General features: G+C 39.1%; 1 protein-coding gene and 2 long non-coding RNA genes across 4 annotated transcripts in view, besides 2 other annotated features; 1 reads left to right on the top strand and 2 right to left on the bottom strand.

Moving 5' to 3' along the window:
* The window catches only part of GTPBP10 (GTP binding protein 10), a 44738-nt gene extending 32407 nt beyond the window's left edge, over positions 1-12331 (bottom strand). Inside the window, exons 1-4 of one of the 2 annotated variants that reach the window (NM_033107.4) lie at positions 12273-12331; positions 6038-6231; positions 4498-4589; positions 3817-3961 (exon numbers count right to left, since the gene is read on the bottom strand). In NM_033107.4, coding sequence (NP_149098.2) covers positions 3817-3961; positions 4498-4589; positions 6038-6231; positions 12273-12305 — 464 coding nt within the window. In that variant the 5' untranslated portion in view covers positions 12306-12331. The remainder of the gene's footprint in view (positions 1-3816; positions 3962-4497; positions 4590-6037; positions 6232-12272) is intronic. The other variant, NM_001042717.3, reaches the window with a different exon arrangement.
* LOC107986715 (uncharacterized) lies at positions 9-27429 on the top strand. Its single transcript, XR_001744961.2, has 4 exons — positions 9-3340; positions 17296-17352; positions 18147-18225; positions 26611-27429. It is a non-coding gene; the product is annotated as an uncharacterized LOC107986715 (long non-coding RNA).
* Positions 12086-12515: an enhancer, noted in NCBI's record as "active region_26245". NCBI's record gives its function as "activates an Ori minimal core promoter by ATAC-STARR-seq in GM12878 lymphoblastoid cells {active_cell/tissue: GM12878}" and the evidence as "EXISTENCE:reporter gene assay evidence [ECO:0000049][PMID:35858748]".
* Positions 12726-12865: an enhancer, noted in NCBI's record as "active region_26244". NCBI's record gives its function as "activates an Ori minimal core promoter by ATAC-STARR-seq in GM12878 lymphoblastoid cells {active_cell/tissue: GM12878}" and the evidence as "EXISTENCE:reporter gene assay evidence [ECO:0000049][PMID:35858748]".
* Positions 14953-23824, bottom strand: LOC101927446 (uncharacterized). The gene is made up of 6 exons (NR_110085.1): positions 23476-23824; positions 22463-22553; positions 20740-20881; positions 18523-18671; positions 17448-17532; positions 14953-16802 (listed from the first exon to the last, which is right to left on the bottom strand). It is a non-coding gene; the product is annotated as an uncharacterized LOC101927446 (long non-coding RNA).
* Positions 27430-27847: the final 418 nt, after the last annotated feature.

Here is a 27847-nt window from a genome sequence, read left to right as displayed (position 1 = left end):
GTAAATCATTGTGGTTTTAATATGCATTTCCCTGAGTATTAGTGATGTTGAACATTTTCTTATATGCGTATTGGCCATTTGTATGCATATCTTCTTTTGAGAAATGTCCATGTCATTTGTCCACTTTTTAACGGAATTGTTTTTTCCTTGCTGATCTGAGTTCCTTGCAGACTCAGTATATTAGTCCTCTGTTAGATGCGTAGTTTGCAAATACTTTCTCCCATTCTGTAGGCTGTTTACTCTGTTGATTCTTTCTTTTGCTGTGCACAAGACTTTTACTTTAATTAGGTCCCACTTATGTATTTTTGTTGCATTTGGTTTGAGATCTTAGTCACAGATTCTTTGTCTAGGCCAATGTCCAGAAGGGTTTTTCCTAAGTGTTGTAGAATTTTTATAATTTCAGGTCTTAGATTAAAATCTTTAATCTATCTTAATTTTCGTATATAATGAGAGATATGAATGCAGTTTCATTATTCTACATTTGGATATCCAATTTTCTCAGCATCATTTTTTGAATAGGGTATCCTTTCCCCAGTTTATGTTTTTGTGTGCTTTGTTGACGATCAGTTGGTCTTAAGTATTTGGTTTTATTTCTGGGTTCTCTATTCTGTTCCATTGGTCTAAGTACCTACTTCTCTGTCAATACCATGCTGTTTTGGTTACTATAACCTTGTAATATAATTTGAAGTCAGGTAATATGATTCCTCTAGATTTGTTCATTTTGCTTAGGATTGCTTTGGATGTATTTCCATTTGTTTGTGTCATCTATGATTTCTTTCAGCAGTGTTCTGTAGTTCTCCTTGTAGAGATCTTTCTCGACCTTGGTTACGTATATTCTTTGGTATTTTATTTTTTGTAGCTATTGTAAAAGGGATTGAGTTCTTGATTTAATTCTCAGCTTGGTTGTTGTTGGTGTATAGCAGTGCTATTGATTTGTGTATACTGATTTTGTAACCTGAGAGTATACTGAATTCATTTATCAAATCTAGGAGTCTTTTGAAGGAGTCTCTAGGGTTTTCAAGGTATAAGATCATATGGTGGGCAAACAGATAGTTTGACTTCCTTCTTTCCAATTTGAATGCCCTTTTTTTCTCTTGCCTGATTGTTCTGGCTAAGACTTCTCTTTGCACACATCTTTGATTTCTTTCTTGGAATAAATGTCTACATGAAGAAATACCAGATAAAATACATGCTCATTTTAAAGGCTTTGATTATACTGCTAAATTTCCCTCAAGAAAGGCCCACCATGTATGAAAGACAGTACTAGGAATGGGGGTTACTTAAAACATTCATTGCTAAATCTCATTCATATATTTTCATTAAATTTATCCAACAAATATTTATTGAGCACTGACTTCGTATCAGGCAACATACTGAGCAATGAGACAAAATGATTCCCGCCTTCACAGAGTTCTTATTCAAATTTGAAGACGGTACTTCAAAAACTCTGCCAAACTTTCATTTGGAATAATGGTGGAATATTCTGCAAATATTAATTTGGAATTTTATAAAAGCGTATTAGCTGGAGGTATTTCAACAATTTCCCTCATTAAAAAAATCTTTCTGTCATGAATTTAAAATAAAATTATGTGAGGTTTCTTAATGACTTGTTTCTCCTGGAACATATAGTTTTTTCATACCCTGTTTCATCCAGGTTCTTATAGCTTTTGAAAAGCAAATTGCAGCTGTTTTTATCCATAATTATCACTAGCTGGACTTGCTTGTTTCCAACATCCTCATATTTTCATAATGATTGAGCACATAATGCAAGCAACTATTTCCAAGAAGATCAAAGTATGAATAGAAAGATGATGCTAATGACTGAATAACAGATATTTGAAATTTTTCTTGAAAAGTACCCAGTGAAAATTTTACAGGCTAAAATCCAACCTATGCAAAGATCAGATCTGACAACAGCAGCACAAATCTGTTAGTTGTACAATAACTTTCTTCTGTGATTCAGTCCATTTCCAAAACCAGCTAAAAGGATATCTACTTATGCTAGTATTCATAGTAGTAACTCTTCAAGAATAGTTGCCTAATTTAAAAACACTAGAAAATATGTTAAACATTCCACTTAAAAATCTTTTTCCCCCATTCTTGTTTGATATGCTTAAGAATCTTGATGCTTTAATTACAGACAAATTTCAAACCTACTTCTGAAAAGCCTAGTATTTCATTATATGCAGTTTTCCAGTAAGTTGGCAATATAATGATGATGAAGATAGCAGCTACAATTCATTGAACGTACAAAAATGCAAAGCATGTATTCTGCTGTAAATGCATTATCTTACCCACCAACATTTTAAGGAAAGACTTATCTCCATACACTATTAAAGATGAGAAAACAAATGACGTGGTGAAAAGCAAAAAACTATAGTGAAGGAAGAATGAGAGAAAAGAAAAGAAAAAAAGAAGAGAAAACAAAGGCTTAGAGAGGCTGTGTAATTTACCCAAGACCAGCTGGCCAGCCTCCAGAGGATTTGAGATCCTAACCTAAATAGTCTAACCTGAGTCCTCCATGCCACTCCACTTTTATGACTAAGCCGTGCTAGGCTCCTCTTAGACTGTAAAGTTGTCTCTTCAGAACTTGAAACACATGTTTATGCAAAATGCAACTGTGATTGGCTGGACTGCCAGTCTTGTCCATAAGACCCTATTAAGCCCATAATGTTCCTAAAAATATAGAGGATTATAGAACTTACATCTAATAACTCTTGTAACTGTGCTTTATTGAAAAAAATAAATGTAAATGGCAAGCCAGGATCACATCTTTCCTTGTTATAATTTTAGCAGGAATGGGGCCTCTGTGAACCCTAAACCAATGGTGGTAAGCTCTAGTGGCTGGTCAGGCAGGGCAAAAGACGAGGGATACAGACTTAAGAGTCTGGTAAAGAAGCAGTGAGATGACTGAAGAGGAACATGAAAAGAACTTAGAAAGAAGCTATGGGGAAGCAAAAAATAGAACTAGGAATTTGGAGTAGGACAGTAATAAGGCAGTTTTCCTTATCTTGTCCTTAAGCTTTCCATCTGAATAACTGTGTAATACTGTGATAGGGCCAGAGGGAGAGGATAGGAGGGAGGGGGGATGGGGGAGAGAGAGCAAATGCAAATTGAAGTTTTCTCTTCCTTTATGTATTCTGTATCTTACTATCTATCCCCTTCCAGTGGGCAGCTGCACTGCAAACCCCACAGCTAAACAGCATTATTTAATGAAAGAATGGAGGCTGGTGGAAGAGGACACTCTTGTGAGGCCTACATTGCTGAGACTAGATAGATCCTAAGCAGAGGCAAGAAGGATATACAGTCATAGCAGGATTCAATTTGGCGGCAACAGTGCGTAAGTCTGAGGATTGAGATTGTCTGTACTGGTCTTTAGCCATTTGATTAACGATACTTTAATGTCTCTATTAAGACCCAAAAGAGTTATGTCAACCATTTTTCCCTGTTTATTTCCTTCTATATATTTTTAATAATAATACGGTTTGTTTGGATTTATTATTAATATCTGGTAACATTATTTAACCATCTTGTAATATTGCATTTGATTGATTTTTCTTTCTTTATGCATTCTCTAACATTCCCACTGATCTATTCAATTGCTCTGGTCTTAATTTTATAAATAAGCAATAACTATGAAACTCTGTGTTGGCAATTTGAAAATAATATTTAGCAGCATATTTTCCAAGTACATACACAACACACAAATTCCATAAATTAGAAATAATTATGGCCCCAAATTACCATTTACATTTATTTTCTATTCAAGAACTCTCTCTCTGAAAGTATAATAATAAAAATATGAACGATACTTACCCTACTAGGCCTACATCAGCTATAAGTTTTAGATCAAGGTGAATTATTCGTTTCTGGCCTTTCAATGGTAAGAAATTTGTAAGTAATTTACCACCAAGACCTCCTTGAGCTACCAAAATTCTGTCATTTTCTTTATTGAGTTCTCCTTAAAAAGAGGGAGAGAAATACTTACAGCAAAGATTAATAAGTGAAATCACTAATGCAATATATTTCTTTCAGAAATACAGGCAAAGAAATGCAAAATTACAAATCTATAGATTAGTAAGTGAAATCATTAATGTAATATTTTACTTTCAAAAATACATGCCAGGAAATTCTCAATTACAAATCTATAATTAATAAGTAGAATCATTAATGTAATATTGTTCTTTCAGAAAAACAGTCCAGGAAATTCCAATTTACAAATCTATTAAAAGTTTGACCCCAGAAAAACACTTCAGTAAACAATTGAAAAGAGCCTAGTTATATATTTTAAGACCAAGTAAGAACTGTAACATCTTTAAAACAATCTTAAATCTAGCAGTCAATTTAACTTTTATAAGTTTTAAAAATGCTCTCTTATAGAATAGTAGCTAAAATTGTTAGTTAAAAAATCTTCTGAAACTCAAGAGAAGCTATTCCATTGTTTCATTTTAGAAAACGTGCACATTTTTACAACTTTTGGAGTTATAGTACACTCACCTATAATTTTACCATTTTCATCAGTTACTGAAATACCCACAGGCACAGGGATTTCACAGTCTTTTCCTTTGGAGCCTTTCAGTGCACTAATTCTACCAAAAAAAAAGTATATATATGTATGTATGTGTGTGTGTATATATACACACACACACATACACACAAAATGGTTTACAAAGAAGAGTAGCAATCAATTCTCTGGTTAACGCAGATGTTAAATGGTCAAACACGGGGTTTAAAAAAACTAAAATTATCCCTAATTATTTCTTTGCATTTTAGACTATTATATCCCACTAAAATGGCATTAAGTAATGATTTAAGTTACTAAGCTAACCACCAAAGGTCATTTTAACCCGAAACTAAAATATTGCAACCATGAAATGAAGAGATTATTGCTACAATACAAATAGGGTAGAAAAAGCCAGGCGTGGTGGCTCACGCCTGTAATCTCAGCACTTTGGGAGGCGGAGGCAGGAGGATCTCTTGAGTCCAGGAGTTCAAGACAAGCCTGAACACCATAGCACGACCCCATTTCTACAAAAAAAGAAAAATTTAAAAATTAGCTGGGCATGGTGGCACATACCCGTAGTCTCAGCTACTTGGGAGGCAGAGGTGGGAGGATCACTTCAGCCTGAAAGGTAGAGGCTGCAGTGAGCTATGATAGTGCCCACTACACTCAACCTAGGCAACAGAATGAGACTCTGTCTCAAAAAAAAAAGAAAAAATGAATCTATAAAAAAAAAAAGAAAATCCACCAAATAGCAAAGCTTTTAAAAAACTAACCTCAAATGAGAGTACTTACATTATAGAAGGCAAATCTGGCTACTCTTAAACTGCTCATAAAAGAAAAAATTAGTACAAATGTTTTAGTAATTCTACTTCTGGGAATTTATCAAAATAATAATTGAACAAACATGTAAAATAGTATCTACACAGAATGCTGCACTGTGGTTATAATCGGAAAAAAAAATCAACAATAACCTAAATAGACAAATGACAAAATAGTTATTTATTATGCAGGTATTCTGAATAATTTTGACATGTGAAAAAAAGTAAAAATAGCAGATTGTAAAATACTGTACTCTCATTTTTGTATTCTAAACTTTTAGGCACATAATTGCATTTGTGTAAACACACAGAAAAGTCTTAGAAAAGTCAAGAAAAGGTTAATAGTGGTTATCTTGCCTTCTAATGGTGGTGGGGTAGAGTAGCATGGTTAAGACTGAAAGTTTTCTAAAAGGTTGTCAAAGATAATTTTAGAAGAAAACAGTGGGAATTCAGATAATTATCGGTTTCTACAGGGGAAGTGCAAAAAGAATACAGATAGACATTGGGAAAAGAAACGGACAGAAAGTTTTAAAACTCTGAAATATTCTTTAGTATCAGTCTTTTATGAGTTGAGACATTTTAGGCTTTTGCTTGGTTATAAATACAGGAAATAATTTACTTCAAATTAACAATTAAGTTTTTATTTTGTAACTAAAAAAAAAATTTCCAGAAGGGTTTGATTTTCTAAAATTTAAGTCATTCAGTAATTACTTACTTGCTGTTTGCTCCTACTCCAGCCACAAACCGTTTCCGAGGATACCTGTCTTTAAGTTGTTTTAAAGTCATTCTGTTCTGGGCTACAACCCAGACATCACCACCTTTTCCACCTTCTCCACCTAAACGAGGATAACCCATTCCACCGGATCCTCCCCTGGTGAAGAGTCTTAGCTTATCGATGAAATTTCCATACTTAAAAAAAAAAGAGAAAGAATATTTGTATACCAAAAGTGTATCACCTTAGAACCTTTTTCTAGTTCTTTCTTCCACTAAAACTTCTTCTAAAAAAGTCGTTAATAGCTTTTCACATGCCAATTCTATAACATTTTCTTAGCTCACCTCCACATCTCCGATCTGACCCCCTTTCCCATTTGATTATCTCTCTTAAGTCCCTTTTAGTTTTTTCAGTTATCAATTATTGTCCCACCTATCCTGAGGGTTTCTGACTTGGCCCTGTTTTCATTCTAGACTTTCTCCCCTGGGTAATTTCTGCTTGTACCAATAACCATCACCTAGGTGAGATATTTTCTATGTCCAATCTGTCAGACATTTCCACCAGGATGAAAGCTTTTAATAGTATAAAGCAAATGTGAGCAGAATGTGTATTTAACTTATATTTGAAATTCCCCAATATGAAACTTGTTCTTACATATCAGTTGAATAATAGCCACCTCAAAAATAAATGTTAACATAACAAAACCAAACTCTTCCCCAGGTAAAATCTGTTCCTCCAATGTTCTCTAAAGTAACAGAACCATGGTTTACATATTCATTGAGACTACACAAATGGAAGTCTTTCAGACTACACCTGCTTCTTTTCCCAAAGCCCTACTCTCTTCTCTCCAGTACCACTGCCCTAGTACCTGCACCACATGAGCTCCTTTCAGTGTTTAGGCATTTTTTCCTTATTGCATTCTCCAACTTGTTGCCTGAACTATTTTTCTGAAATTGATCTGATCTCTAATCATGTTTCTCCTTTACTCAAAAACCATGCATTAAAAAAATGCTTATGAGCCAAGTGCAGTGGCTCATGCCTGTAATCCCAGCACTCTGGGAGGCCAAGGTGGGCGGATCACGAGTTCAGGAGATCGAGACCATCCTGGCTAACATGGAGAAACCCTGTCTCTACTAAAAATACAAAAAAACTAGCCAGGCGTGGTGGCGGGCGCCTGTAGTCCCAGCTACTCTGCAGGCTGAGGCAGGAGAATGGCATGAACCTGGGAGGCAGAGCTTGCAGTGGGCCGAGATCAAGCCACTGCACTCTAGCCTGGGCGACAGAGCGAGACTCCGTCTCAAAAAAAAAAATGCTTATGAAATAAAGTAAAAAATTCTTAGTACTACAGTTGACCCTTGAACAACACTGGTTTGAGCTGCGTGTGTCCACTTATATACAGATATTTTTCAATAAATATATTAGAAAAATTTTTTGAGCTTTGCAACAATTTGAAAAAACTTACAAAGCAAATAGATTGGAAATATTGAAAAAATTAAGAAAAGCTGTGTGTTATGAGTGCAAAAAATATATAGATGCTAATCTATTTTGTCATTTACTTCCATAAAATATACACATATCTATCTTAATTTTTAAAAACTAGAGATGGGGTTTTGCTATGTTGCCCAGGCTGGTCTCAAACTCCTGGCCACAAACAATCCTCTTGCCTTGGCCTCCCAAAGTGCTGGAATTACAGGCATGAGCTACTGCACCTGGCCACACATCTATTATAAAAACTTAAAATTTATCAAAACTTACACACACACTTACAGATCTTACATGGCAGCATTTGCAGTCAAGAGAAATGTAAGCAAATGTAAAAATGCAGTATTAAATCATAACTGCATAAAATTAACTGTAGTACATCGTGGAATACTGTAATAATTTCGTAGTTACCTCCTGTAACTATCCCGGGATCTCAAGTGTCCCAAGTTGCCACTTAAAAGGCCATGTGATGCTAATCGTCTCCCCATGAGCAGTTCATCTTGCCAGTACATTTTATAAGTCAGTAAAAAGTAATCTCTCACAGTTCTCTTGCATTTTTCATCATGTTCAGCGCTACACTGTAAACCTTGAACACCACCATGGAACCCATACAAAGTGCCACTAGTGATGCTGGCAGTGCTCCCAAGAAGTAAAGTCATGACACTACGATAAAAAGATGAATTGCTTGATATCTACCACAGATTAAAATCTGTAGCTGCGATGGCCTGCTATCTCAAGATAAATGAATCCAGAATAAGAATCAGTGTAAAAAAAGACAAAAATTCATGAAGCCACTGCAGCAGCTATGCCAAAAGGTGTGAAAACCTTGCACTTTTTGTGAATTAACTTTTTATCTTGTATTAAAAAGGCAACTTTTATGTAGATGCAGGATTCCTATTTTAAAAACATAGACTAATACAATAAAAGAAAAAGTAAGGTTACCATATGACAACTTAAAAGCAAAAGGAATGTGAAGGATCTAAAGCTAAAGAATTAATTGCCAGCAAAGGATGATTTGATAATTTTAGAAGGAGGTTTGACTGTGGAAGACAGTTCTAGATTCCTCAAGAATCTAGAACTAGAAATACCATTTGACCCAGCCATCCCATTACTGGATATATACCCAAAGGATTAAAAATCATGCCACTATAAAGACACATGCACACGTATGTTTATTGTGGCACTATTCACAACAGCAAAGACTTGGAACCAACCCAAATGTCCATCAATGATAGACTGGATTAAGAAAATGTGGCACATATACACGATGGAATACTATGCAGCCATAAAAAGGATGAGTGACATGGATGCAGCTGGAAACCATCATTCTGACCAAACTATCACAAGGACAGAAAACCAAACACCACATGTTCTCACTCATAGGTGGGAACTGAACAATGAGAACACTTGGGACACGGGGGGAACATCACACACTGGGACCTGTCATGGGGTTGGGGGCTGGGTGAGAGATAACATTAGGAGAAATACCCAATGTAAATGACAAGTTAATGGGTGCAGCAAACCAACATGGCACATGTATACCTATGTAACAAACCTGCACGCTGTGTACATGTACCCTAGAACTTAAAGTATAATTTAAAAAAAAAAAAGAAGAAATAGGTTTGGCTTTGGCTTTAGAAATATCAAGATAACAGGTGAAGCAGGTTCTGCCAACTAAGAGGCAGCAGATGAGTTCCCAGATGCCATTAAGAAAATCACTGAGACGAAAGAATATCTCCCAAATCAGGTTGTTAATGCTGATGAAAGTACCCTATTCTGGAAAACATGCTACAAAAGACATTAGTAAGGAAGAGAAGGGAGCACCAGGATTTAAGCCAGGAAGGGATAGGCTAACCCTACTGTATTGTGCAAATGCAGTTGTGTTTGTAATCAGGACTGTCCTTATCTATAAAGCTGCTAACCCCTCAATCTTGAAAGGGAAAGATAAACATCAGCTGCCAGTCTTTGTTGGATAAGAAGGCCTAGAGAACAAAAACCTTTTCTCTGGATTGGTTCCATGGATGCTTTCTCCCTGAAGTCAGGAAGTACCTTCCCAATACGAGACTGACTTGTAAAGTTCCTCTGCTAATGGACAGTGCCCCACCTCCCCGCTACCCAGAACCCCATGAGTTCAACATCAAAGGCACTGAAGTGGTGTCCTTGCCCCCAAACACAATGTCTGTAAATCAGCCTCTAGATCACGGGGTCGCAAGGACCTTTAAGGCTCATTAAACATGATTTTCTACGAAAAGGATTGTCAACCATGGAAAAGAACACTAATAGAGAAAACTTCAGGAAAATCTGAAGTTTACATAATTGAAGATGCCATTATTATTGAAAAAGCCATGAAAGCCATAAGCCCCAAACAGTAAGTTCGTGCTGGAGAAAACTTTGTCCAGGTGTTGTGTTGTGTTATAATTTCACAGGATTTACAAAAGAGCCAATCAAGGAAATCATGAAAGAGGCTGTGAATATGCCAAAAACGGCGGGAAAGTGGGTAAAGGACTTCAAGATATGGATCTTGAAGAAACTCAAGAGCTAACAGCCACCAAACCAGAGGAATTAACAGAAGACAGCTTGATGAGTGCTTCAGATCCAGTGCCAGATAACAAGGAAGAAAACACAGAATAAACTACCAGAAAAACGAACATTAGATAATCTGGCAGAAGAGCTCCTATTGTTCAGGACTGCTTTTGACTTCTTTTATGACATGGACCCTTCTGTGAAGAGGCACTGAAACCAAAGCAAATGGTGGAAGAGGTATTGGTACCCTATAGAAACATTTTTTTGGGGGAAAGAGAAAAGCAAAAGCATGACAGAAATTATGATGTACTTCCATAAAGTTACACATAGTGTGTCTGCCTCTCTTGCCTCCCCTTCCACCTCCTCCACCCCCACCCCTTCTGCCTCTGCCACCCAAGAGAGCAAGACCAACTCCTCCTCTTCCTCCTCAGTCTATTCAACATGAAGACTATAAGGATGAAGACCTTTACAATTCACTTCCATTTAATGAACAGTAAATATATTTTCCCTTCTTTCTGACTTTCTTAGTAACTGTTTCTTTTCTCTAGCTTAATTTAAGAATACAGTATATACTATATATATATTTTATATGTGTCAACTGACGGCTTATGTTATCAGTGAGGCTTCCAGCCAACAGATTATTAGTAGTTGTTTTGTGGGGGGAGTTGAAAGTTACATGAAGATTTTCAGCTGTGGCGGGGGCATCTCTAACCCCCATGTTCTTGAAGGGTCAACTGTATATCCAAAGCTACTAAAATACCCTTCTGGTATCTTTTATTTTCTTTTTTTTGAAACAGGGTCTGGTTCTGGTGCCTGGGCTCGAGTGCCGTGGCACTATCATAGCACTATCATTGCTGCAGCCTCAAACTCCTGGGCTCAAGCAATTCTCCCACTTCAGCCTCCCAAATGGCTGGGACTACAGGCACCACACCACCCCGACTGTTTTAAAGATGGGGTCTTGCTATGTTGCCCAGACTGGTCTTGAACTCCTGGCCTTAAGGGATCCTCCCACCTCAGCCTCCCAAGTAGCAAGAACAATAGGCTCACCTACCATGCCTAGTTCCTTCCTGTATCCTTTTCACTTGCTCAACCCTTCCTCTCTTCCTCTTTGCTCTGTACTACATGAAATACCGCCATTTCTACATGCCATTCTGCTCATGCTTTTCCTCTACTTAGAATGTCATTTGTTTTTCCTATCATAAATCCACCTAAACGTCATATTTTCTAACGTCTTTCCAAATTCCTCTAATCAATTCTCTGACTTTGCTGGCTCTCCCAGCAATTTGATTATATCTCTATTATTACACCTTTATAAATCTCACGCTGCATTTAGTGTTTACCTGTTTCCTTCACTAAATCAAGAACTTCTTGTAGGTAAAGGACTTACGTATTAACCTCTTAGGCTATTAAAATCAAAATAACTTAAGGAGTAATTTCTTAAATTCATAATCCACATCTCTAGTCATTTAGGATAGCTATTATAAAAAACAAATGGGATTTTTTTTTCAAGAAAGTTGAAATATTGACCATTCTGATATACTCGAGGAGAGTTTCTACAGTTCCATTAAATATGTAACACTTTTTTCCTGCTCTAGATTAATCAGATTCAGGGGTTTAGGAGCCTTACTTAAAAGGAGTATTTTACTCTGGTCGTTAGAAATAAAGTAATGGCCAAATATGACGCAGGCAACGTTTCAAAAAGCATTACTGATAGGATAAGATTTAAAAAATAAAAATTCAAAGCAGTTGTAAATTTTTACGGAAACGATTCTTAAGACCGACACCACACAAAAATCGACCTAAATGTTCTGCAGGAAGGCACATCAATTACACGCTTTCGTGTCTTCATAAAAATCCATTAGAAAAACCTTAAACAGCGCACTCAAGGAGAAATATATAAAAACAGGCTGTGGACATTAAAGGAAAAAAAACCACCACAACATTTGGGCCACAGCAGGCAGGTATCCCAGTTCCTCATACCACGTGCACACTATGTCTCTAAAGAACTTCAAACCCTGCCCCTGCCCCCAAACAACCGTCCAAACCACGCCAGGTACACACACCACTGTCACCGCTTACTGACAAAGCGCCACTACAGGAGGGGCGGAGAAGTCTATGGGAAAACCAAGCAAGGAAAAGGCCGCCACGAAGACAGTAGTGGAGAGACAGGGGAGCAAAGAAGAACCAGAGCTGTCAGCGCTAAGGGGACCAGGCTGAGGGGACCCGCACGGACCTTTCTGAACAACACGCAACTGCAATGCACCATGGCTGCAACAGGCCAGGAAACCTTCTTGCGGAAGCGGCACAAGCCGCAGTACAGCGCGGCCTTTTTACGTCATCCCCTGCCGCCGACGCGATTTCTCCTCCGCCCACACCTGCGGACTGGCGCATGCGTTGTGTGATGCTCTCGGGCGCCACCAGCCCCATGCGCTGTGCTTTGCACCCCACGGGTGGGGAGAGAAGGCGTTTTATCTATTAAAACACAGAGATAATCTCGAGAAGCCGTGGGACAAAGGACAGTAGGGCGTAGGTTGCGTGTCTCAGGAATTAACATTTTGAATGGAATGGAACTGAAGACTCAGCAGCCTTGGAGCAGCTTTTATGCTAATTGAGGAAACTAAGAATCTTCACCCTCAGCGTGAAAAAACCTCCAACGGACCATAAAACCAAACGTGTAAAAGACACAGAAACTCAACTGGGAAAAAAGAACCCCCAAAAGCCGTTAGTTCAGTGACGAGCTGAGTAGTCTCCAGCCAAAGCTTCCAGGAGACCATGAATTTAAAACTAGCGGCCGCACAAAGTTTTATTGAAAATAATGTCAGGATCTGAGATCTGTAAGAGGACTCTCCTGTGCAGTAAGAGAAAGAAGCTTGTTTACAACTGTCAGAAAGTAGCTTCTTGGAGTCGGGAAGACGGGTTTTTATCCGTCATTTGAAGCGTGCCTTTGTGAGAATTAAGACACGATGTGAAAAATCCCTCTCTCTCTTGATTACTTTTCAGGACCAGAAGAGAGTAGCTCTCCCCAACCCCTCATGCAGCGAAAAAATGTATGCAGCTGAAGTAAACGGCCCTGCACAGCGTTGCCAGCCGTATAACTCTTAACAACCCAAACTAATAAATCCTAGAAACCTTTCATACTTTGATACGATATGGCTCTGTGTCGCCACCCAAATCTCATCTTCATTTGTAATCCCCATTGTGGAAGTAGGGAAGTGATTGGATCATGCAGGGCTGTTTCTCTCCTGCCGCTCTCCTGATAGGGAGTTCCCACAAGAGCTGACGGTTTTATAAGTGTTTGGAAGTTCCTCCTTCTTTCTTCTCTCTCCTGCTTGCCATGTGAAGAAGGTGCTTGTTTCCGCTTCCCCTTTTGCCATGATTATAAGTTTTCTAAGGCCTCCCCAGCCATGTAGAACTGTGAATCAATTAAGCCTCTTTCCTTTATAAATTACCCAGTCTGCGCAGTTCTTTATGGCACTGTGAAAACTGACTAATACCTCAATGTGACAGTGTCTTCTACTCCTCACTTAGGACAGTGATTATTTGGAAAGACATGATGTGAAAACCCCGTCTTGATTACTTTGCTGCTACTGGACCTTCTGCTTACAACCACCAATCAGAAAAGCTGTAGTTGTCATTTAACCTGCAGTAGTTGTATTTTCCCTCTGTGGATTACTTTAATGTTGAATATTAACACCAGCAACAGATGTTGATTACTATCAGTGTTCCTACCTCTCATTAATATGAACATTAGGTTGTTGCTGTGTAGATGTTTTTAATTTAATGACATTTGCTGCCATTAAGATTACTATCTTACTAGGTTTTCCTATTGTGTCAGAATAGTGTTGAGCCCAATGTACTTATTTTCCAATGCCTATTTCTTGTTAGTGAACACAATCTCAAATACTTTTCTTTCACATAACATATACATGGGGAAATGATCACAGCAACTAAAAAAAAAAAAATGGGAGATTGATATAGAAATATCTCAAAATGATGAGGATCATTGTGTACTGTAAACAAAAAAGAAAGCATAATATTTACCTCTGACAAAATGTGGTCAGGGCCTGAAGTATTTATTATAACTCTCATTACCAGATAGTAAAAGAAACATTGTGTAACTGGAAACTGTCCCCTTTAAAATGTGCAGCTAAAATGAACATGAGGCAAAATGTTTAGGACACTATTCAGACCTAAGGCAGAAGTCATTGTTGGAAAATACTACTACTTCTGCCATGAAGAGGAAAGAATGCCTCCTTAGGGTTGCTCAGTTTGATGTATGGGCAAACCATTAAAGTCAGTGGCACTAAAGAGTCTTGAATAAAGTCCCAAATAAGCCATCGACATGACTCACAATTTGGTTTTAAAAATATTTTAAAACAGGCCAGGCGCAGTGGCTCACGCCTGTAATCCCAGCATTTTGGGAGGCCGAGGCGGGTGGATCACGAGGTCAGGAGATGGAGACCATCCTGGCTAACACGGTGAAACCTCGTCTCTACTAAAAATACAAAAAATTAGCCGGGCGTGATAGTGGGCGCCTGTAGTCCCAGCTACTCAGGAGGCTGAGGCAGGAGAATGGCGTGAACCTGGGAGGCGGAGCTTGCAGTGAGCCGAGATAGCGCCACTACACTTCAGCCTGGGCGACAGAGAGAGACTCTGTCTCAAAAAAAAAAAAAAAAAAAACAAAACAAAACCATATATATACACACATACATATATACATACATATACATATATACATATATACATATATACACATATATACATATATATGCATATATACACATATATACATATATACATATATACACATATATACATATATACATATATACACATATATACATATATACATATATACACACACACACACAATAATGAGGGTTATGAAAAAATTTAATATAGAGTTGTTCTAATTACAATTTTAAATAATTTTATTTTGAAGTACTTTTTAATTTACAGAAGTTACAAAAATAGCCAAAAGAGATTCCATGTAATCTTTATCCAGTTTGCCCGAATGTTAACATCTTTTATAACCATTTTTCAAAACTAAAAAAATTAATATTGCTAGAATATTAACTAAACTACAGACTATTTGCTTTCACTGGTTTTTCACCTATGACTTTACTCCAGGGTCTAATACTAACACCACATTGCATTTAATCTAACATTTAATGTAGATACACTTAAGCATAAAATAGACAAATATATAATTAACAAATCTAATATTTTGTGATGTTATATTGCTTAATTTTGTCAGCAGACTAAAATGAAAAGTGTCTAACTTCATTCTGGGCTTTGCAGATTATTTCAATTGATCTTGTGTCATCATCTCAACTGCTTTTAATTAGATTTCTACCTTTTGTCTATCATGCTTTTAGTTCTGCTTGTTCAAGAGTCCCTAACAAGGTCCGTCTGGCTCAGGCCTTGTAATCAGTAGATACTCTAGGAATATTTGTTAATTTATTCAAACGAAAGACAAGAACTAGATTGCTAACTCCTATAGCATACGAATCACCTGAAGTGGAGCATCGAGTTATTCTTACTCATTAGCCTTATAATCCTTCAGATGTAACAAATCAAATATTATTTGTTTCATGCCGTCAAAATATTACAAGTCTGAGAACCATTATATCTCCCAAATGATGAAGTTAAATGGATCAAACAAATGAGGTTTACATACTAGGTAAGACCTCTTTGAGTAAAAATGAAGTATTCTCAAAGAGAGGGCCTCAGGCCATGTAATTATTGTCTTCAAACAAGGCCTATGTGAGGGAAAAAAAGTGGATTTATCTCATTGCCTTTCTTCCTAGGAACTTACACTTCAACTATTCATTCATTTATTCATGCATTAATATAATAATTTCTGTGTTCTGAATTTGTCCCACATACTCAGCTATGTGCTGGAACACTGTCATGGGTACTGAAATAACTAAGCAAGAATAAGCAGAGTAGTTGTGTCAATGACAGAAAGAAGTAAATTTTAATCTTTCTGATACCTGTATTCATAATGAGTGGAGGAAATTTATTCCTATGGAACATGATTTTACTTCGCTGTTAAGGCACTTTGCTTTTAATTTGAAGGATATAATGTAAAGGTTACTTTTTAGGAAGCATTTCTAGAAATCTTGAGAATTAGAATCATTTTTTTAAGACCCCCATTTAAGACCACCTGTACTAGAGGAATAAAACTATTTTAAGGGTCTTCTACTATCCTATTAGTCATCGGTTAGTCTCATTTTTTATACTTTATTTCAATCATTGATAGATGTAAGAATGGCAGTGGAATTATCAGAAGAGACTTTCATGATAATGCTTCCTGTTTGTTCAAACAAGAGGACTTATGAGCAGAAAAGTTCGTAATGTATTCAGGATTCTCACTTACTGATCTCATTTTCTTTGCTTCTTGTTACTGAGATTTCATAAAGCAATAACCACTGACAGTAAATTAAAATTCTTAGATAATATGAATAAGAAACAAAAATAAGAGGCCAGGCATAGTGGCTCACAGCTGTAATCCCAGCACTTTGGGAGGCCAAGGCAGGTTGGTCTCTTGAGTCCAGGAGTTTGAGACCAGCCTGGTGACATGGCAAAACCCTGTCTCTACAAAAAACACAACAAATTAGCTGGGCATGATGGCACACACTTGTAGTCTAAGCTGCCTGTGAGGCTGTGGTGGGAAGATCACCTGAGCCCAGGAGGTTGAGGCTGCAGTAAGCCATGATGATGCCAATGCACTCCAGTCTGGGTGACAGAGTGAGACTGTCTTTAAATAAATAAATAAATAAAATAATGAAATCAGTGCTTATATTAGCGTGTTCATGTGTTATTTTAAGTATTTATTACTACCACATCATAAATTAATCAGAATATTCCCCTTCAAAGGAGATATTGTAAGAATATGTTAGTCATTGTCCTATGCATGTATTATAGACTATCACTCTATACATGGTAAGCTACAGCATTGGGCAGAATAGTAATTGAGCACAATTGTTCCCATTGTATATTCCACATACAACACATAACAGAGTATACTCTGAGAAGGTATAGAACATATACTTATTGGAAGACATGGTTGTATAAGTAAAAATGAAGTTTAATGAGAACTCATTTTATGCGAGTTACACAGAACATAAAAATACAGATTTTTAAAACATTTTTAAAGCATCATAAGCACTTAAAAGAGTCATAATTTTTTTAAATTAGGTCTGTAATAATTATATTTGGCCTTTAACTTTATTTTTTTTCATTCAATCTAGTTCTTGCAACAGCACCGAATTCCTCATTTGGTTACTGTGGAGCTTCCAGAAATTTTGGTATTCATTTCTTATATCTATTTCCTCATTTCCCATGTATTCATCAACCCATTAGAACTTTGCTTCTGTTCTTATTTCAGTAAAATTATACTTACTGGGCCGTTTCCTCAGGCCATATCTTATTTGACTGGGAAATGTCTACTAGTGAGGCAATTGGAGTTATGGGGTATGCCCTAAATGCTAACAAAGGAGAAAAAATGAACATATCAAAAGATAGTATAATCCCTGTAACTTTTGATTTTATGTAAATTTTAATTCTTGGTAAGAAAAAATATATACCAAAACCTCAGTATGTAACAAATGTTGGGGGGAAAAAAGCCACCAAGCATATATTCCTATACATATGCTTATACCTAAGCATCACCTCCCGATCACCACCGAGGTCTAAGAAAAATCTTAATAAGGTTTCTGATGAACAAAGGAGAGGCTAAGTCCTTATTTAGAGAGAGTAAAGAACAAGTTGTTTACTCTAGGAAGCCTGATAGGATGGAGTTGGTAGAAGGTTTATGTGAAGGTGATTTTTATATTACTTTTACATTGAAGAAGCCCTAAGCATAAATCCTAATACAACTTTTTTTTTTGTTCTCTCATTATGTCTTAAATCTTTTCAGTGGTGGAAGCTTTTACCCATCATTAAATTTGAGTTCCAAGATTTTCAGCTCACATTTAGATAATGAGCAGTCCTAAAGACCTCTTAAGGCCCAAAACACTTCCTAGATTCAGAAATTAGAGTGTTGGTTTCTGTATAATATTTGAAATTCTCAATTTAAAGTTATGTCTTTTCTTTTCTTCAGCTAGTGCTGATTTTAGGTGCCAGCTTGCCATAGCTTCAGGGCACTCTAGATTTGGAGCATTGGAGGGAAGAAGAGAAAGGTAATATGGAAATGCTTACTTTAACTTGTCTTTGGTGGGCCAGATTTGAGTTCCTGGAACTGGCAGATATTTAGGGTAACTCTCTCATAGTGCTTTTGTGGGCACTTGAGTCTCATCAGTGAAGTCTCTCACTTCTGGTTCCCTAGTGGATGGGTCTCTATTTGAGTGATGGCTTTAGAATCTCTCCACCCTTACTACCTCCAGCAATCTGGCATACACCTAGATTTCATCCTTGTGAATGGGGCCCCCTTGATTTCTTTCAGCAGCACTATTGGACTGAATCCAAGGTGAACTCACCCTCATATGCAATCCACCTCCAAGTCGTGGGAAACACTCATGTAGATTTTACTTGGGCAAATTTAGGAGCGCGGGCCAATCACAAAGGAAACTCTCCTCTTTTACCACCAAAGTGGTTGGTGGGCCAATTTCTCCATCTCTTGATTTCCCTGGACACGAATCAGAATGCAGTTATTATGCCCTACCGCTTCAGGAATAACATAATAAGCAGTATCAGTACACTTGGTGGAGGCCCCAGCCCATCCAAATGAGCATGAAGAAAGAGATCAGGCACCCTCTCTTCCATTCTCATTGGGAGTGGAAAACGTAAGAGGTCTAAGAATTTTGTGATTATTTCCTTTAAAAATTTGAGTTTGTGTCTGGCACCTTACTTGGTATAAAGCATCTGCTTCATCTCGATCTGTTAGCTAGAACTTGTAATTCAGTATCCTGAGATATTTCCTTTTAGGGGAAATATGAAATTACAGGCTGAAATTGAATGTGACACATTATTTTCTATTCTTTCTTGCTTCTCAGCATGATCTGAAACTCTTGTCATTTCTCTTTTTAGCTAATAATTTAGTATAGGTGAGCTGGAGAAGATGTTAGTATGAATTCTTTTTCTCTTTATAACTTTTCTATTATAATAACTGATATTTATTCCTACCTCTTCTATACTTTTTTCTTCCAAAATGTAAAGGAAATAATAATCCTTCAAGTAAATGTCTGAGGACTGATCCTGGACTATGAGAACTGCTCTCTTGTGTGCCATTAATTTCAAATTTGAACTTCTCTTTACTTACTGTGTAAATCCTCTCCCTGACAAGACTGATTACATCTTTATTAAGGAGTTCATCTCTCATTTGAAAATGTTTTTCATCTTAGAAAAAAATATTACTGTTGTCAATCTTGCCATGTAAGATTTGACAGAAAATTCTTTCATAGATGAAATGTAGTTTTATCTTTTAACAAAGAAAAAATGTGTTTTATTAGCTGATGAACATTTTTTTGTTATTTTTTAAAATTTTATGTTCTGTATTTACTTGTCACTGACTTGAAGCTCAACTCTTTTGTTAAAAGAAAGTGACATTAAAACAATGTATGGAAATTAACTTACAGTTCACACAGCAGAAAAACCAATAATTACATCAATTTTATATTCCTTCCTTCTAAGATATTAAAGTGTTGCAACAAGAAAGCAAACAAAGATTACTTAGAGAATATTACTATGAGGTAAATATAAAAGGCTATAGCAGAATTAGGACATAAAATTGAGTAATCTTGCCCATTTTATTTACAAAGTCACACAGGAGTTACCACTGAGTCAAAGCCATCAGCCCAGCATTTTATTAAAAACAGTAGCCCCCCACCAAAAAATGAAAATTGCCATGCTAGTGCTAGTCATGATGTCTGAGAATTTCAGGTGGAGTTGTTAAGTGGTCAGAACCAGAAAATTGAGTTTATTGAATTATTTTGTCCTGTTACATTCTGTAGGTCTTAAATACCTGAAACCTCACTTCATATCTTTTTAAATAGGTCCATGGTGGCGTCAGGGTTAATCATTCTCTTTTTTATCATGGTATGTTTGGTAAAGATCAGGACTGTGGGCCGGGCACGGTGGCTTATGGCTGTAATCCCAGCACTTTAGGAGGCCGAGGCGGGCGGATCACGAGGTCAGGAGATCGAGACCATCCTGGCTAACACACAGTGAAACCCCGTCTCTGCTAAAAATACAAAAAATTAGCCGGGCGTGGTGGCAGGCATCTGGAAGTCCCAGCTACTGGGGAGGCTAACGCAGGAGAATGGCGTGAACCCGGGAGGCGGAGCTTGCAGTGAGCCGAGATCACGCCACTGGACTCCAGCTGGGGGGACAGCGAGACTCCGTCTCAAAAAAAAAAAAAAAAAAAAAAAACAAAATAAAGATCAGGACTGTGGCAATTTTGTACTGTTCCAATTCAGCTGCAGCTGTGCTCCCCAGAATTTCCTTCCTGTATTAGTCCATTCTCACATTGCTGTAAGGAACTACCTGAGGCTGGGTAAGTTATGAACAAAAGAGATTTAATTGACTCATAGTTCCATAGGCTGTGTAGAAAGCATGGCTACGGAGGTCTCAGGAAACTTAATCATGGTGGAAGGTAAAGGTAAGGAGGGAAATCTTCACATGGTGGAGCAGGAGAGAGAGCCAGCAAAGGAGGAAGTGCTACACACCTTAATCAACCAGATCTCATGAGAACTCACTCACTATTCCAAGAACGGTAAGGGGCCGGGCGCGCGCGCAGTGGCTCACGCCTGTAATCCCAGCACTTTGGGAGGCCGAGGCGGGTGGATCACGAGGTCAGGAGATCGAGACCATCCCGGCTAACACGGTGAAATCCCGTCTCTACTGAAAGACAAAAAAAAAAAAAAAAAAAAAACAAATTAGCCGGGCATGGTGGTGGGTGCCTGTAGTCCCAGCTACTCGAGAGGCTGAGGCAGGAGAATGGCATGAACTCAGGAAGCGGAGCTTACAGTGAGCCGAGATCACGTCACTGCACTCCAGCCTGGGCGAGAGAGCGAGACTGCATCTCAAAAACAAAACAAAACAAAACAAAACAAGAACAGTAAGGGAGAAGTCTGCTCCTATGATCCGGTCATCTCCCATGAAGCCCCTCCTTCAGCACTGAGGATTATAATTCAATATGAGGTTTACTTGGGGACACAGAGCCAAACCATATTATTCTGCCCCTAGCCCCTTCCAAATCGCATTCTGCCCCCGGCCCCTCCCAAATCTCATGTCCTTCTCACATTTTGGAACACAATCATGCCTTCCCAACAGTCCCCCAAAGTCTTATTCTCTCATTAACTCAGAAGTCCAAGTCTAAAGTCTCATCTGAGACAAGGCAAGTCTCTTCCACCTATGAACCTGTAAAATACAAAAGAAGTTAGTTACTACCAGGATACAATGGGGGTTTGCGACAAGCCTGAGCAACAAAGCAAACCCTGTTTCTACAAAAAATTAAAAATAATGAGTCAGGTGTAGTGGTGCACGCCTGTAGTCCCAGCTACTTGGGAGTCTATGGCAGGAGGATTGCTTGAGCCCAGGAGTTTTGAGGCTACAGTGAGCTCTGATTATGCCACTGCAGTCCCACCTGGCAACAGGGTAAACCCTGTCTTAAAAAAATAAAAAGAAGCTCAGCAAACCCCAAGAAGTTGGATAAATACAAAGAAAACCACACTGTTGTAAAGAATTTGACCTCTGTCCCTGGGAGATGACCTCTAAATCCTTGGAATTTTTTGGGGTGATAGAATTATCTTTTATCCTTGATGGGCCCTTGGGATCACACTTGAGTTTATGCAAATGAGATGACTCAGGCTGGGGGCTGACCATATCAGAATGACCAACTATGTTATTGCATGTGATATAAGCTGTACCTCTTGGTAGGGTGGTGGGTGGTGGGTGGTGGGTGGTGGGGAGGGCTGGGGATTCAGTTCAATCATGTGACCAATGATTCTGAAACTGATGCAACAGACCACTAGATGGTTTTTTTGGATAAATATAGAAATTGACCCTTATGGTCTTAAAGCTTGAAACTTACCTATCTTTTATGTGAGTTCCTCAGGAAAGGACCCCCAGGCCTCTCAAAAAGTATCAAAGAGGCCAGGGACAGTAGCTCTCACATGTAACCCCAGCACTTTAGGAGGCCAAGGTAGGGCAGATTGCTAGAGCCCAGGAGTTTGACACCAGCCTGGGCAACGTGGTGAAACCTCATCTCTATAAAAACTACAAAAATTAGCTGGGCATGGTATCATGCACCGATAGTCCTAGCTACTCGGGAGGCTGAAGTGGGAGGATTGCTTGAGTCCAGGAGGGTGAGGCTGCAGTGAGTGGTGATTGTGCCACTGCACTGTAGCCTGGGCAACAGAGTGAGACCTTGTCTCAAAAATAAATAAATAAATAAAGTATGAAAGAACTGAAACTCACCAGACAATGAGAGTTCAAGCCCTCATTCATCACGATTGGTTTCTTACCCCACCTGAGTTCCTGCTTTTCCACACGTAATTATGTTTCTTTCCTGCTAAATAAACCCCTAATTTTAGTTGGTCGGGGAGATGGATTTGAGACTGATCTCCTATCTCCTTGACTGCAGGACCCCATTAAAGTCTTCTTCCTTGGCAATAATGATTGTCTTAGTGACTGGCTTTCTGTGCAGCAAGCAGCAGGACCTGGACCAAACCCCTGATATTTCAAGTTACAGTTCAATCAATCATGCCTATATAACAAAACTCCAAGCTGGGTGTGGTGGCTCACACCTGTAACCCCAGCACTTCGGGAGGCCGAGGTGGGTGGATCGCCTGAGATCAGGAGTTCAAGACCAGCCTGACCAACATGGTGAAACCCCTTATCTACTAAAAATACAAAAATTAGCTGGGCATGGTGGTGCGTGCCTGTAATCCCAGCTACCTGGGAGGCTGAGGTAGGAGAATCGCTAGAACCCAGGAGGCAGATGCTGCAGTGAGCCAAGATCATGCCACTGCACTCCAGCCTGGGTAACAGAGTGAGACCCTGTGTCAAAAAAAAAAAAAAGAAAGAAAGAAAGAAAAGAAAAAAACCGCCAGTAAACATTCTGGCACCAAGGCACAGGTGAGCTTCTGTAACTGGCAATTATATATTAATGATTCAAAAAAGTAATGCTCTTAGGACACAGAAGCTTTTGTGTTTGGAACCTTCCCAGACTGCATTCTGTGGATCTCTTCATTTTCTGGTCCTGATCTATATCCTTTATAATAAAACTATAAGTATAAATACTTTCCTGAGTTCTGCAAGTCATTTCTAGCAAATTACAGAATCTGATGGGGCAATGGGAATGCCTGAATTTGTAGCCAGTCAGTCAGAAGAACAAGGACCTAGCAATCCCGGGCTTGCAACTAGTTTCTGAAGGTGTTACTGGTGGAAGATATTGTGTCCGGAATTGGTGGGTTCTTGGTCTCACTGACTTCAACAATGAAGCCTTGGACCCTCGTGGTGAGTGTTACAGTTCTTAAAGGCAGCGTGTTCAGAGTTTGTTCCTTCTGATGTTCAGATGTGTTCAGAGTTTCTTCCTTCTGGTGGGTTCGTGGTCTTGCTGGCCTCAGGAGTGAAGCTGCAAACCTCCACGGTGAGCATTAGAACTCCTAAGGCAGCAGGTCTGGAGTTGTTCATTCCTCCCAGTGGGTTTGTGGTCTTGCTGGCTTCAGCAGTGAAGCTACAGACCTTCGTGATCAGTGTTACTGCTCATAAAGGCAGTATGAACCCAAAGAATGAGCAGTAGCAAGAGCTTTTGCAAAGAGCAAAAGAACAAAACTTCCACAGCAAGGAAGAGAACCTGAGCCTATTGCCCCTGCTGGCTGGGGAAGCCTGCTTTTATTCTCTTATCTGGCCCCACCCACATCCTGCTGATTGGTTCATTTTACAGAGAGCTGATTGGTCTGTTTTACAGAGACCTGATTGGTCTGTTTTGACAGGGTGCTGATTGGTGCATTTACAATCCCTGAGCTAGACACAAAAGTTCTCCATGTCCTCACTAGATTAGCTAGATACAGAGTGCTGATTGGTGTATTTACAAACCTTGAGCTAGACACAGAGTGCTGATCGGTGTATTTACAATCCGTTAGCTAGACATAAAGGTTCTCCAAGTCCCCAGTAGACTCAGGGGCCCAGCTGGCTTCACCCAGTGGATCCCGCACTAGGGTCCCAGCGGGAGCCGCCTGCCAGTCCTGCCCCGTGTGCCCGCACTTCTCAGCCCTTGGGCGGTTGATGGGACTGGGCACCGTGGAGCAGGGGGCGGCGCTGGTCGGGAGGCTCGGTCTGCGCAGGAGCCCACAGGTGGGGGGGAGGGTGCCCAGGCTGCAGGTCCCGAGCCCTGCCCCGTGGGGAGGCGGCTAAGGCCCGGCGAGAAATCGAGTGTAGCGCCACAGGGCCGGCACTGGTGGGGGACCCCGCGCACCCTCCGCAGCTGCTGGCCCGGATCCTAATTACCCTCACTGCCCCGGGCCTGCGGGGCCGGCTGGCTGCTCCGAGTGCGGGCCCGCCAAGCCCACGCCCACCCAGAACTCTAGCTGGCCAGCAAGCGCGGCGCGCAGCCCCGGTTCCCGCCCGTGCCTCTCCCTCCACACCTCCCCGCAGGCTGAGGGAGCTGCCTCCGGCCTCGCCCATCCCAGGAAGGGGCTCCCACAGTGCGGCGGGGGGCTGAAGGGCTCCTCAAGCACGGCCAGAGTGGGTGCCGAGGCCGAGGAGGCGCCAAGAACCAGCGAGGGCTGCAAGGGCTGCCAGCATGCTGTCACCTCTCAGTATCTGAGTTACCAGCGATGAATCTGTACAGGTCTGCAGCAACATCAGTTCTTGCCTCCTCAGAATAAAGAATTTGATGGAGGGGCATAAAGCAGAAAAAAAAGAGACTTAGGCAAGTTTCAGAGCAGGAGTGGAAGTTTATTAAGAAGGCATTAGAACAGGAAAGAAAGGAAAGTACACTTGGAAGAGATCCAATCAGGCAACTTGAAGAACAAGTGCAGTGCTTTACCTTGATCCTAGGACTTTATAGGCTGGCCCCTTTCCCATGATTCTTCCCTTAGAGTGGGCTGCCTGCATGTGCAGTGCACTCCTTGTGCTTGGGAAGTGAGCGTGCGTGGTGTGTTTAGTTGTACACATGCCCATCTGAGGCTTTTTTCCCTTTTCTGGTGCTGTGCCCTTGGAAGGTCATACTCTGCCATTTTGTGTCTTAATGTGCATGCTCAGTAAGTTCCTTCTCTCTGGCATCTATATTCAGTGGACACTTCAGTGCAGTAGCTGTGGATCATCAGGAAATGGCCTCTCCCTTGCACTGGCTACCAATTTGTCACTTTTAGAGAGTCAATGTGATAATTGCTGAACCATCACCTGACATTCCTAGTGGCTGGGGGAGAGCCCTCACGTGCCCCACTCATGCCTAACTACCTATAACAAAATAAGGGAGCTCTTATGGAAGACTGTACCCTTAACTTGTGAAATTTGACCTCACTCTAGGTAATGTCAGAATTGCATTGCACACACCTGGCACATTGTCAGCAAGTTGCAGAAAACTAAAGATATTTTGAAAGCTGTCAGAGAAAAATGACACATTACATATAAGGGAATTGTGATTTGAATGATTGATGTCTTCTCATCAGAAAAATAATGGAGACCAGAAGACAGTGGAACAACATCTTTAAAGAATAAAACAAAACTCAAAACTACATTAAATTCTATATCCAGTGAAAATAATTCTAAAAGAATGATGGTGAAGTAAAATACATTTCCAGATAAAGAAAACTAAAAGTATATGTAGCCAGTGAACACGTACTATAAGAAATACCAAAGAAGTTCTTCAGGTTGAAGAGAAATACAACCAGATGGAAAATCAGGTCTTCAGCGGCAAAAAATAAAGAGCACTGAAAATGATAACATTGCATCATAGGATTTATAACGTAATGCATTTGACAACTATAGCAAAAAGGATGAAAAGGTGAGTAAATGAACTCATACCTTGCAAGATTTCTACATTTTAAATGAATTGATTCAATATTAACTCTAAGTAGTCTGAAATATTAAGGATATATATTGCAATGCTTAGAACAACCACTAAAAAATTATGCAAAAAAGGAAAACGAGGATCCTAAAATACACAATGTTTATATGCCTTTGTGTTTGTCTTTATGTCCTAAGATAAATTTGTATTTCTTGTTCTTAAACAATAACAAAATATTTTCTACTAATCATCCCTTTTGGAAGAGGTAAGGACTAGTGATCTCTTTTTCACTTCCCTCCTGAACTATTTTTTTCCTGTCTCTGAGACAGTCTTTTGTTCATCTTTGTCTCCTGTGTTCCTGAAAAAAGAATGCCTTCTTTCTCTTCAATTAGTCAGCTGTCAACAAGTGCTTGTTTTCTCTGAAGGGTACTTACTTGTTTCAACTTCATTTCCTGCTTTCTTTCTCCCCAAGGTGATTGAATCGCACTTTGATAAATACATTGTTATTAAAGTTTACTAGAGGCAATTGCAATTGTAGATGTTTCAAATTAATGTCTTTCATTATACTGAGTCAAAAAGTTAATGAATTGAAAAATTATTCTTTTTGTAGGTATTCAGCAGCATTACTCAGTCAACATGTCCTGACGGTGTGTGGAGTGACCTTCTAGATTTTGTGGGGAGTGATGATGGCAATATTTCCTGGAGAAGCACGCTCAATAAAGGAGAAATGGGATTAACACAACTGTGACAAAACTGCACTAAGTGATTGGAAAGTAGGAAGCATGTGGGCAAATGAATAGGCTACTGGCCTGATTAAACCAGGAAATCTCAAGCAGCACTGGAGTTCTGAAAGAATTAAGGGGTGTGGCTGGTGGAAAGCTGACAAAACTCCCTCAGAGGGGGCAATAGCATGGATATGAAATAGAAATCAGCTAAAAATATTTATTGTGTCCATTGTACTATATACCAGTCATTAAAAACATGTGAAATAGAGACATTTTTATAAGCTTGTAGGAGAACATTATATGCTTTCATGGAAGAAAGACAACGTATTATAGTCATTCAAAAATGGATGTCAAGTAATATAGTGAATATAGATACCCAATTGCAGAGGTAAAGCTCAGTTGTGTAGAAAGAGCTTTAGAGTTGGGTCAGGTGAAAGAGATAAAGGGAGAAATGCTCTATGATATGACTTATAGATGAAGTCTGGGGATAACAGAAATATTCTAGGAACGGGATGATGGTGAATATATTGCTGCTCGTGAAGACAATTCTAATAAAAAAATGCGTGGCTTGGAAAACATACTTGCTTAGTTAGATGGCTTGTTTGGGCTATGATGATAAATTAGGTGGATTCGTTAGGTAATACACTTGACTTTATAAATAACCAACTGTAAAATCTAAACATTTACATAAATTTATCATGACTGTCTTAACATGTGTTGTGTGCTTCTGAGTTTTCCGCTTCTCTTCCATTTTGCCAAATGAAAAATCTGTCTCAAATCCAATTCTCCTACCGCTCTCTAAAGTGTTTGACCCTACAGCAGTCTTCTGGTTCTTCAACTATGTCCTCTCTTTGGTTCTATGACATTATATCACCCTGGAGCTTACATAGGCTGATTATTCTTTCCTGTCTTCCTTCATTGATTCCATTTGCAGTTTATGAGCCCCGAAATTTGGGCATAGGTCCCCATATTCATCTCAACTTTCTTTTATCAATGTATACTGTCATGGTGGCACTAATTCACTAATTTTCTTTTTTCTTTTCTTTTCTTTCTCTTTTTTTTTTTTTTTTTTTTTTTTTTTTTTGAGACAGGGTCGCACTCTTGTTGCCCAGGCTGGAGTGC

This window comes from Homo sapiens, chromosome 7, assembly GCF_000001405.40.
Source record: "Homo sapiens chromosome 7, GRCh38.p14 Primary Assembly".
Lineage (NCBI taxonomy): Eukaryota > Metazoa > Chordata > Mammalia > Primates > Hominidae > Homo > Homo sapiens.
This window is presented reverse-complemented; position numbering and strand designations above follow the sequence as displayed.